The 12,654-nt window shown below is 35.7% G+C and overlaps 1 annotated feature.

Moving 5' to 3' along the window:
- Positions 7,166 to 7,460: a silencer, noted in NCBI's record as "tiled region #5248; K562 Repressive DNase matched - State 9:DNaseU". NCBI's record gives its function as "represses a minimal TATA promoter and a strong SV40 promoter by Sharpr-MPRA in K562 cells {active_cell/tissue: K562}" and the evidence as "EXISTENCE:reporter gene assay evidence [ECO:0000049][PMID:27701403]".

Below are 12,654 nucleotides of genomic sequence, written 5' to 3'. Positions count from 1 at the left end.
ACATCATGAAATTATTTTCCTGGGATTCTGTTTCAAAAGTTCACTTTTAAGAAAAGATGAACACATTTTATTATTGTTGCTGAATTTCCAAACAAAAAAGCTTGGAACTTGCCATTTATTACTAAGAAAGTAGAAGTTATTATTTTTTTTCATTTCAGTCAGTTTTTGGGGAACAGGTGGTGTTCAGTTACATGAACAAGTTATTTAGTGGTGATTTGTGAGATCTGGATGCACTCATCATCCGAGCAGTGTACATGGTACCCAGTGTGTAGTCTTTTATCCCTCATCCCCCTCCCATCCTTTCCCCCCGAGTTCCCAGAGTCCACTGTATCATTCTTATGCCTTTGCAGCCTCATAGTTTAGTTACCACTTATGAGTGAGAACATACAATGTTTGGTTTTCAATTCCTGAATTACTTCACTTAGAAAAACAGTCTCCAATTCCATCCAGGTTGTTGTGAATGCCATTATTTTGTTCCTTTTTATGGCTGAGTAGTATTCCAAGGTATATGTATACCATATTTTCTTTATCCACTCATTGATTGATGGGCATTTGGGCTGGTTCCATATTTTTGGAATTGTAAATTGTGTTACTATAAGCATGCATGTAGAAATATCTCTTTTGTATAATGACTTCTTTTCCTTTGGGTAGATATCCTTTTGAAGGACAAATTTTCTTGGTTGGCAGTTTTTTCCTTTTAACACTTTGAATATATCATCCCACTTTCTCCTGGCCTGCAATGTTTCTGCTATGAAATCTGCTGAAAATGTTATGAAGGTACACTTTTATATGACAAGTTCCTTTTTTCTTACTTCTTTCAAAATTCTATCTTTCTCTTTGACTTTGATGATTTAATTATAATGTGTTTCATTGTAGACCTGTTTAGGCTTAACCTACTTGGTATCTTTTGAGCTTCATGAAACTGGATGTCCATTTCCCTCCCCACATTCAGAACATTTTCTACCATTATTTCTTTAAATAAACTTTCTGCTTCTTTCTGTTTCTCTTCTTCAAGTTCCATAGTGTGTATATTGGCTCACTTAGTGTCTCATAAGTCCTGTAGGCTTTCTTGAGTTTTTTTTCATTCTTTTTTCTTTCTGCTCCTGACTGGATCGCTCCAAATGACTTGTCTTTAAGTTCACTGATTTTTTTCTTCTGCTTGATTAAGTCTACTATTGAAACTTTGTTTAATTTTTCAGTTTAGTCTTTGTGTTTGTCAGCTCTAGAAGTGCTGTTTGATTCTTTTTTATGAGTCTATCTCTTTGTTGAACTTCTCATATTTTCATGTATTATTTTCCTGATTTCATTTCGTTGTCGGTGTTCTCTTATAGCTCACTGAGCTCCTTTAAAATTATTTTAATTATTATTATTATTTTTTGAGACAGAGTTTCACTCTTGTCACCCAGGGTGCAGTGCAGGGGCACAATCTCTGCTCACTGCAACCTCTACCTCCTGGGTTCAGGCGATTCTCCTGCCTTTGCCTCCCAAGTAGCTGGGATTACAGACATGTACCACCACGCCTGGCTAATTTTGCAGTTTTAGTAGAGATGGGGTTTCGCCATGTTAACCAGGCTGGTCTCAAACTCTTGACATCTGGTGATCTACCCACCTCGGCCTCCCAAACTGCTGGGATTACAAGCGTGAGCCACTGTGCCCAGCCAATTATTTTAAATTCTTTGTCAGGTAGTTAGATCTCTATTTCTTTAGGATCCATTACTGGAGTTTCATTTTAATACATTGGTGATTTCATGTTTCCCTGATTCTTTTTTTTTCTCTTTTCTTTTTTTTTTTTTGGAGACACTGGCTTGCTAGGTCATGCAGGCTGAAGTGAAGTGGCATGAACTTGGCTCACTGCAGCGTCTGCCTCCCAGGCTCAAGCAAACTTCCACCTTGGTCCCCCAAGTAGCTGAGACCACAGGTGCATGCAGCCACACCTGGCTAATTTTTGTATATTTTGTAGAGATGAGGTTTTACCATGTTGGCCAGGCTGGTCTCCAACTCCTGGACTCAAGCCATCCACCCACCTCGGCCTCCCAAAGTGCTGGGATTACAGGTGTGAGCCACCACACTCGGCTGTTTCCCTGATTCTTCATGACTTTCATAGGACTGCGTTAGTATCTGCTCATTTGAAGAAGCAGTTACCTCTTCCTGTCTTTACAAATTGGCTTTGGCAGGGAAATCCATTCACAAATCAGGCTGGCCTAAGATTCTTGTTGGTCTGGTTAGTAGGGCCTGCAGATGGGCTGGCTTGTAAGATCTGTGGTTAGCCCTGGTACCAGGGTCTGTGGGTTGGTGGGCCTAGTGCCATGATCTGTGGGTGGGCAGGCCTTGTGCTAGGGGCTGTGAGCTGGCTGTTGAGATCTCTGAACCGGTTGTTGAGAGCCGAGCCCTCACCTTTTTTCTTTGTTCTTAGCTACCCTCAGGTGATCTAGCCATTCCAGTTCCCTCAGTGTTATGGGTGAGGCACAACAGAAGCAAGTCTCTCAGGTAGTGCCAAAGGCAGGAGAAGTTGGATGCCGACTTCACCCTGTTTCCCTGGGAGAACTTGCAGGCTGAGGTGTTCTTTCTTGGTGCTATGTTGTGCTGGCTTAGGGGAGGGATAATACAGGTAAAAAGATACTATTCTTTTTTCTCCCTTTCAACACGTTTTTTTTCTCATTTCTGCATCCCACCAGTGTGCTGTAACCTCTCACTTGGATTTGGAGCTCTCATAAAGATATTCTCATCTATGGAGGCTGTTAAATTGGTGCTTTCGTAGAGGGCCAAGGGCTGAGATCACTTATTATATCATCTTGTTGATGTTACTCCTCAATAACAGTTAAAGTCTATTTCTTAAAACTCTAATACCTTGATTACCTTTATATGTGTCTTAATTGTCTTGATTTTTTTTTCTCTTGGTCTTGGTTTTCTTCATATGCCTGTTAATTTTTGATTAATGCTAGAAACTGTGTATAAAAATTACAGAGGCTCTGCATGAAACTTTATCTTCTGGAAGGCAGTTTAAATAAAAGAACACCTTCCTCCAACCAGGGATAAATTGATTTGAGGCTGTGTTTCAGTTTTCTTAAGGCCTGGACTATTTGGATTTGCCCTTATTCCTATGGTGTAGTCTTTTAGGGGGTCCAGCTGAAAGTCTGGGATAACCATGGCACATCCACTTTGATGAAAACTAAATTCCGTATTTTACCTCCCTACCTCCGTGAGATTGATTAATGTTTTTCTTTGCTTTCAACTTCTTAACTTAGTTCTTTTGGAAGGCCATCTCCAGCTCACAGCCCATGTGGCTTAGAAATAAATACATTGTTTTTGAGGAAAACAGCAGCAAAATACCAGATTCACTTCAGTGTTTTTGTTTATCTCTGGGATCTTGAACCCCAGATATTTTGGTAGCTTTCCGAGGACTTCAAATAGGTTTTTCTCTGGTATGTGTTTGTGTGTGTAGCTGTTGTTAGTAGAAGGTTTGTATGCTATAATAACTTTCACTATATTTATTTCTTTAGTTGTGGTTTGTGCGTGTTTCAGATGTCCTTATAAATTACCTCAAATGTTTTCTGTAACAAAGCTAGAGTATGGAAATTCAAAGGACACAGAATAGCCAAAACAATCTTGAAGAAGAACAAAGCTAGAGGATATTTAGATTACTAGATAGCAAAATGATTTATAAAGCTGTAGCAAATAAGACAGTAGAATATTAACAGAAAGATATGCAAATACACAATGGAACAGAATAGGGTACAGAAACAGAACTACATATAGATAGTTATTTGATTTTTAACGAAAGTCTCTTTAAAAAATGGAAGTACATTTGAAGAAAGGATGACCTCCTCCATAAAAGATGTTGTATTAATTTGAAGAAATGACAAAACAATGTTGATAGTTATCTCACACCATAAATAAGACCCAATGTCAGATAATGTGTTCATGTAATTCTTGTGGGTATAAGAGTCCTTAAATAAACTGAGTAAAATTTTCTTCATGATCTAGTAGTAAGCAATGATTTCTTAAGCAGGGCACCAAAAGTGTGAGTGGTAAAAGAAAAACAAAATAAATTACATTAAAATAAAGTACCTCATATACATCAGAATACATAAAAAAGGAGGTGATATTTATAATTTTTACATGGATATCTGTAATGGCAAGACTTGCATGTTGAATATAAAGAAATCTTTCAAATTAGTAATAAAAAGAAGAAATTCAATAGATAAATAAACCTAAATGCGCACTTAATAGAAATGAATGTCCAAATTTCCAATAAACATATGAAAAGTGCTGTACCTCACTAATTATTCCAAAAACCCAAATTAAAATTATGATGACATATCACTGTGCACCTAAGAGGATCAATAAAAGGAAATAAATGGAAGACATAAAATGTTGACAAAGATATGAAGGAATTGGAACTCTTGAACTCTGCTGGTTGGTGCAGAAACTGATGTAACTGCTTGGGAAAACTGGTAGTATCTGCTAACAATGAATTTTCTCATACCCTATGTCCAGCAATTTTACTTCTAAATACATGATGAACAGAAATATGAACGTAAGTCCACCAAAAGCACCATTCTTAATAGCTTCAAACTGGATACTGAATAAATGTTCATCAATAATAGAATATATAAATCAACTATGATGTATTCATAATTGCATACCATGCAGCAGTGATAAACTCTTGCTGTATACAATAATATTAATATATCTTATCAATAGAATGTTGAATGCAAAAGGCCAGACACAAAACGTAACCTCTGTATGATTCCACTTAAGTAAAATTCAAAAAGAGGCAATACTCATCTATTGTGCCAGATGTCAGAGTAGTGGCTACCTTTGGGATGGTAGTGATATATTACATTCAAGAAAAATCCATTTTAAAATAGACTTTAAAATAAATGTCACTTTAATGGAGATAAAAAGTATAAATAAAGACATGACATTTGAGTTACAGTTTGAAGAGTGATTTTTGGGTTCTCCAGGCAGATCATTCCAGACTAGAGAAAATATCATTTTGGTATTGCAGCACTATATTTTTCCTGTTTATTTTTCCTTTCTGCATTCTTTCTTCCCATTAAAACTTAACTATTTTGCATATTTTTTCTTTAGAAACTATCTACCTCTAGATAGTTTAGCTAGTTTAATATGTTACTGCACCTAGATTAGATTTTAGACTTAATAGTTTATTCTAAAAAGTAATTGATGTGGAAATTTTTATACCTAGGCAGGCAGGAGGGGAATTAAAAAAAAAAAGAACCCATTTAAAATTACACCATATACAGCATGACCAGTGTAGTTTACATCAAGGATGGATTTCTACAGTGCTTGGTATGTTGCTATACATAGATAAGCACTTCTAAATACTAAAATGATATTTACCATTACTAGCTTTGTTTCCCAAAAGACCTCAACGTATTCCTAATGAGTAAATTTTACCATCATCACAATGTTTAATTCATTTGCAGTGACTTATTCATAAAATTCAGATTTCCAAAGATAATTTAAGAAAATAAAGTAATAAAGCATATAGCTCTTGTTTAAAAAATGCACAGGGGCATTAACATTGTGTAATAGCATAGTTTCCATTATAGAACCTAATAATGGTTCTGAATTAACTGGATTTCATTAAAAATTAAAGAATTGAATGATCAGAGGAAAGAAATGATAGTTTTTCTCTCAGGCTACTTTGCTAAGTCAGAAGTGAGGATATAAGACAACCAGGTCGACGGTATCAGAATTAAGGAGTCAATCCTGACAACTGAGAATTCAAATAATGATCTATTTAAAGAGTGATTCATTTAAAATAAGCTTCTTTAGGGGCAGGTTGCATTAAATAGAAATAATCTTAAGCATAATCCAGAAGTTTGAAATATGTCTGCTTTTCTATGCATATGTACTTGCTACACTCAGTTTATTTTAATTTCTCTAGAGAATCTGATTTTGCAGGGTAGTTTAACCTGATGGGGGCAGTGTGTGCCTGTTAGTCCCAGATAGAGTCTAAATTATTCTAAGGGAGAAAGGTAAGATTAAGGGAAAAATGCCCTACACTGCTTAGAGAATGGCCGCAATAGGCTGCTGATGACTTTCCTGGCTCTGAAATGGCAGCTTGCATACGAACAAAACAAATAAAGGGATCAACATGAAAAACCAAAGTTTTATCAGGTTTTCCACAGTCCACTAGAAGAGCAGCTTGTCAAAAGATTATTTTGTAAAGCTCTCTAACAGGCTTTCCAAAGCTGCTTTCTTAATGCAGTCAAAACAGATAATGATGTCTCCCCAAAGATCTGCTTGAAGAACAGCTAATGGATTTTTAGGCATTCCCCATTGTCATGATTTGCTTATTAGAAATATACAGTTCTTTGCACGTGGGCTTGTCTTTATCTCACTTCTTCAACTGGAATGTGAGCGGAGAACTCTGTTGCATTCACTTGGAAACTTTCGCTTTTCTGAGGAATGTTCGCTGTCCAGCCATCGTTATTCTGAATGTGTGTGGGAAGGCTCTAATGATCAGTCTGGAAAGCTTGTTTTTTTTTTTTTTGCCTTTGCCTAAGACAAATATGTTTTCTCTTTTAGTCTCTTAGGCATGAGGCATAAAGAAAAATGGACCTTGTCTAGGCAGCGCCTTCAGATCTATCTTTTGTTCTTACGTCCCCTTCCTCACAATGCCCAAGATGGCTCATGATGGCCAGAACTGCCTGTTTGGAGTCCTCTAATTTTATTCTGCAAAGCAAAGAGGAGAAGCTATTTACAGGAATGAAATGCTACTCCAATTCCTGTATACTTTTGAAGTACTTCTAACTTCAAATGATTAACATGATCAAGACTCATTTATTTATATTTTAAGAATATTTTTAAAAGCTGTTTTGTTATGAAATTTAACAAATGTGCAGATAAATGTATAACAGAATGATATACAGTATAATGGTTCATGGTTTATCACAAACAACCAGGTTAAATAAAAATATAGAACATTATTCGTATCCTGAAAATCTCCCTCATGCTTCTTCTGAGTCACTAACCTGTCCTCCTCCTCCAAGCATAACCTGATTATCGTAGCAACCACTTCCTTGTTCTTTTTTCTAGTTTAACTTCCTGGATTAGTCAGGATTCTCCAGAGAAACAGAACCAATAATATACATATATATGTGTATATATATATATACGTATATATAAGTGTATATATACGTATATATATATATAAGTGTATATATATGTATATGTGCATGTGTGTGTTAAATAGAAATTAGCTCATTCAACTATGGAGTCCGAGAAGTCCCACCATCTGCTGTCTGCAAGCTGGAGAACCAGGAAGGCCAGTGGTGTAATTCAGCCTTTGGACTCAGCCTGAGTCCAATGCTTGGAGGCACTGGACAGCAACAAGTTTGTGAAGAATTACATACAAGGATCTCTGGGAGAGCATGCTTAGGAAGTGGATGGTTAATTTTATGTGTCAACTTTACTGGGCTGAAAGTGTTCAAGTTTTCTAGTTGTTCTTAGTAGAAGGCTCAGTTATGTTAACCAGCCCACCATTCTCAGAAGTGGAACCTTATTTATTTATTTATTTATTTATTTATTTATTTATTTATTTATTTATTTAGACAGAGTCTCACTGTCACCAGGCTGGAGTGCAGTAGCACAATCTCAGCTCACTGCAACCTCCACCTCCCAGGTTCAAGCAATTCTCCTGCCTCAGCCTCCTGAGTAGCTAGGACTACAGGCATGCACCACCATGCCCAGCTAATTTTTGAATCTTTAGTAGAGACAGGGTTTCACCATGCTGGCCAGGTAATTTATTTTTTAATTCAAAAAATACTTATTAAGTGCCTACCAGCCAGGTGCTGCTCTAGGATCTGGGTACACAGTGGAGAAGAAAAGTGAATTTTCTGTTTTACAGGAGGGTTGTATCCAGTTGAGGGATTTGAATAAGAAAATGTTACAGTGCTCTTCTTTAAAACTCCTGCATAGCTACAAAGTAACATTATCATCATAATAAACATTAGACTACACGTTAAAATGGGTAGTGGTGATTGGTTTTACAAAAATGTTTCCCTTTACAATAAGACTTACAGTAGAATTTCTTTATAAGCAAAGTATTTTAGAATTTTGGAATAGATATTACCTCCTCGTCCCATACCCTGCCCCTCAGCATCCCTCAGGACTACTCAGAAATGCCATTTGTAGTATTTCTAGTTTTATATCCAGGATGGGCTTGAGCTGGGATGTTCTAGATGCTATGCTTGTTGAAGAAAGATGTTGGCTGACTGTAGTTTCCTTTCTTTTAGCCTCACCATCTCATTTGTTTCTTTTTCATTTTTACTTTTAAGCTCCTCTGCCTTCCCTGTGTCCTGTGTCATTCATTCCTTTAAATCCTTTGCAAATCTAGAAGTAAAGTCCACACAGGTCTCAGAGTTGTTCTTGTCGCTCTTCCTTTCTCTATTTTTGTGGGTACCTAGGCTCTGCTTTTGGTGGTTACAAAGAGCTAACACCTGTCTAATCTCCATGGCAATTTCTTTCTTATTAATAGTATTCTCCCTTGAGATTATACTCAAATATTTTCCTTCTCCCACTATATCAAGATTTTAAAATCTGAAATAGGTTTAGCACTATGTAACCCCCCCTCAAATTGTAAACAAAATATGATTTCTATTTGAAGGTATTAATTTTCTGGAAAGAATGCATATTTTAAAGAATATTTTTTATTAGGGGAATTTTCAAACAATCACTGAAGTAGAGACTCCAGGGGAAGTTATACAAATTCCCCTGGAGTCATTATGAACAATTTGCAATGCTTATTTTACTTATCCCTGCACTGTATTTTTCTGGAGTATTTTAAAGCAAATCCCTCATATCATGTCATTTCTTCTATAAAATCTTTAGTATGTATCTTCAATTGTTTTTTCCTTACATGGTCACCATGCCTTACTATAACTAGCAAGATGAACAGTCATTCCTTAACCTCATTTAATTCTCAGCCCATCATCAAATCTCCCCAATTGTCTCATATGTCATTGTGTAATTGGACTATTAGATTTTGTCATTCAATTATTCTAATTAGGACTTAAAGTTCACCTTTGGATTGGTAAACCTCTAAAGTCTCTTTTATTGTGATGATCACCCTTTCTCCTTTTTGTGCTATTGAATTGTTGGAGATTATTTGTTCCATAGAATGTCTCATAATCTGGATTTGGAGGACTCCATTTGATATTGTCACTTAACTTCTAATTCTCCTTTCTTTGTATTTTCTGCAAATTACTTGTAAATTTGTGGATGGTCTCTAGGTTTGATTAGATTCATGTTTTACACAGTTACTACTTTTTAAAAACAGTTTTAGTTTTTCAAAAATAAAACCTGAGGGTTCAAAATTTTGACCCCCAAAAGTTTAAAAGACACTGTCATAAAAGCAACTATTCAAGGGCAAGTATATTTGATAGTCATCATTAAATTATTTCTGTAGTATGCACAGTGTTAACCACACAGACATTTCTGAGCGAATACATAAATGAATGGATACAATTTTTGAGTAAGTTAATGAAAGAATAATTGGATTTACGTTTTTTTCTCTCATCACCCTGAATTTATTAATACAAGTTAAATAATTTTAGAGTCTAAGCAGATTTAGAAATGGCAATATAAAGATAAATAAAGTAAATACACACTTGCCCAACTGACCAAAATAAATACCAATTCAGTTCAATGTGTTTTTTCAAGTGGTGTATTTTATTTTGTTCAACAGTTTTTGTGGTACTGAGAAGAGTGAAGATATCTACTTATTTACAAAGCTGAAATTCAGAATATCGTAGGAATCACAGAGAAGTATGGAGATTACGGCTGAAAATCCTACAGAAGTTTTAGTCTACTTTTTCACCAAATATATAAATCTCCTCTACATTTTCATTGACTTATGACATTAAACCTTTAATTGAACATGTAAGCAATAGGAAACTCATTACCTTTGTAAGACAGTCCATTCTATTTCAGGAAGGCATTAGTTGGATACTCATCCTAATGTTTATTGAGTGCCTATTATTGACTGGGTACTTGTTACAACTTGTGATTTTTTTTCAACTGATTAATTTACTTATGTAAAGTCTGTCTCCACCACGTGACTATAATCTTCAGGAGCGCAGATGCCATGCGTGAATTATTCAGTGTGTGTTTTTGGCACTCAGTTCATATATTTGTTGAGTGAATGAATAAAGAATCAGGTAGAGAGAAATTAAGTATTTTTCTTATGATCACACAGCAAAGCTGTGAACTCTGATTTCCACCCTTAAAGCTTTTTAGAATTGTAAATATACCTATGCTTAGACTTAGTCTAATTCAGTTTTACATAGAGGCTTTTATTTTCTTTTTTAAGCATGAAATCATGAGTCCTAAACCTCCTCTTTTTAAGATTGGATCTTTAGTTTTCTCACCTTTCTCACAAGGTATAGTGACTAGAAATCTTATTATAGCATACATCTTTAGCACATCTTTCATAAAATTTTGTTGTCAGTAATGAACACATGGTCTGACATTACAAGTTGACTATTATTCTAATTTTGATACTATCATTGTATCAGTGCAGTCTAAGATTGCATTTATTTTTTGTTTCCTAGCCATGTCTCATTATTGACTCTTAATTTGCTTGACATCATCCAAAATCCTCAGTTCTCTCCATATGTAAAGCTGTGATTTTTGATGACTTTTTGCTACTCATGCTCCTCTCCCATATTGTGCTAGTAAATTATATTGTTTTTAATACAACCATAGAACATTGGGCTCAATAATGAGTTTTACATCTTTATTAAATGACATCTTAATTGAAGATGGTTGAATACAAGTCTTTGCATCTGATTGCAGAAACAAAACAAAAGCTAAAGCCATAAAACCAGAAACAAGTAAGTGTACCAATAAAGGATGGAGGGGGATGTTGTTTAGTAGCAACATATGGGAAAATGACTTAAGAACTTTAGTCGGCTCCCTCAGAGCTGGCGTATCAAATGATTGCCAAAAATTTATGTCATCTTAGGATGTATTAGTACCCAACACTGGGATGACAATTTTATTTCCTCATTAGTGCCAGCTGTGATCATGTGGTAGTGATGGCCTAGAGGCTGTACTGAGATGATTTAAGATGACTCCCATCTCAATGCCAGGAGTTATTGGGATATCTGCTATGGGAGTGGGAGTGGAGAGTATTCATATGTGTGTCTGCATCTTTGATTATGAGTTTGAGGGGTAGCAGAGCCAATCTATATTGTGACTGCCCAAATGTGCAAGATATTAGACTGAAAATGTTTTCATAAGGCAGAGCCCATCAGGGCGAGAGGTCTCTGAATTCTCCCATGTGGAGAGCTTGCAAGAATTGAAACTGTCCAGACTGGAGAAGCAAATGCTGAATGGCTGCCGTGTGAAAGAGGGATTGAGTCTGTTGTTACCTGTGAACTTATGGAAGAGTTGGGTTCTGATAAACTTCATGGACGGAAACTAGAAGTTGTACACAGATTTCAGGTGAGTGTAAGTAGAACTTTCCCAAAATTGAATCTGTTCTAAGATGAAATAGAGTAATCGAATTGTGATGAGTAATTGCCATTGGAGGTTTAAGAAAAAAGCTTGGTGACTCCATGCTGGCAGTCAATGTGGGGGCTGGGTGACTTTTTATGTCCCTTTTAGTTTAGAGATTCTGTTTATTCATTCATTCAAAAATACTTATGGAGTGCCTACTCATTGCCAGGGAATTTTCTAGGAAAGAGGAAACTGTGGGGAACAACAGATAAAGTTCCCGTTCTCATAGGCTTCAAGGTCTCATAAGAGTGGGAGAGCCAGATAAGTAAATGGGTAAATGAGCAAGGTCATTTTAGATAAACGCTGTATAAAAAAAATTAAATGTGAATGATAGTAGGATGCTGAAGGAAAGGAGAAACTGTCTAGGCTGGATTGCCCGAGAAAGCTCTTAAGAGGAAGTACCATTTGAATAGAGAATTAAATTATTACAAGTAGGCATTTATGCAGAATTCTGAGGGAAACTTTTGGTATATTTTTGCATAAACTAATGAAGTTAGATTTCTATGATCTGTTCTTGAGTAAACTCATGCTGGCTCTTAAAGCTACAACTTTCCTTTTAAACTGCATATATCTCTCTGGTTTGATCAACAATTCTAGAATTTTCTTGGAAATTAATCATTATCTCACCACATTGTATTTACACTATTTATTTTTCCCATTTTGAAAATGGCAGAAATTTTTACCAGTCTTCTTTCACCTCTCTCATTTTCCATGATGTGCAGTCAAATCTGCATGTTCTTTTTGTATTTGTAATATATAGCACTGTATTTCATTAGAGCTAGAGGCAGAAGCTCCTTTAAAATAGTTGAATTCTCTTTTACTCAATTCATTGACTACCTTGGCTTTAATTCCTTCTGGAATTTAAAAATTTAAAAATTTAAAAATTTTAGAGAAAAAGAGAAATGAGGTGTTTTGCCTTTTCTGCATCTGTTAACATTTTTACCATCTGCCCCAAGTACTGGTCCAATTCCTTCCTCATTTTACTTTAGTTTTAAACGTATTGAAAATGCATTTCTCCCCCTTATGTTTTTATCAGTTTCTGCTTATTCTGGATTTCTTCCTTTTCAAGTGTTTTCACGGATTTTTATTCTTCTTTTGTATTCTCCCTGATTCTGTGACCAT

Source organism: Homo sapiens, chromosome 18, assembly GCF_000001405.40.
Source record: "Homo sapiens chromosome 18, GRCh38.p14 Primary Assembly".
Lineage (NCBI taxonomy): Eukaryota > Metazoa > Chordata > Mammalia > Primates > Hominidae > Homo > Homo sapiens.
This window is presented reverse-complemented; position numbering and strand designations above follow the sequence as displayed.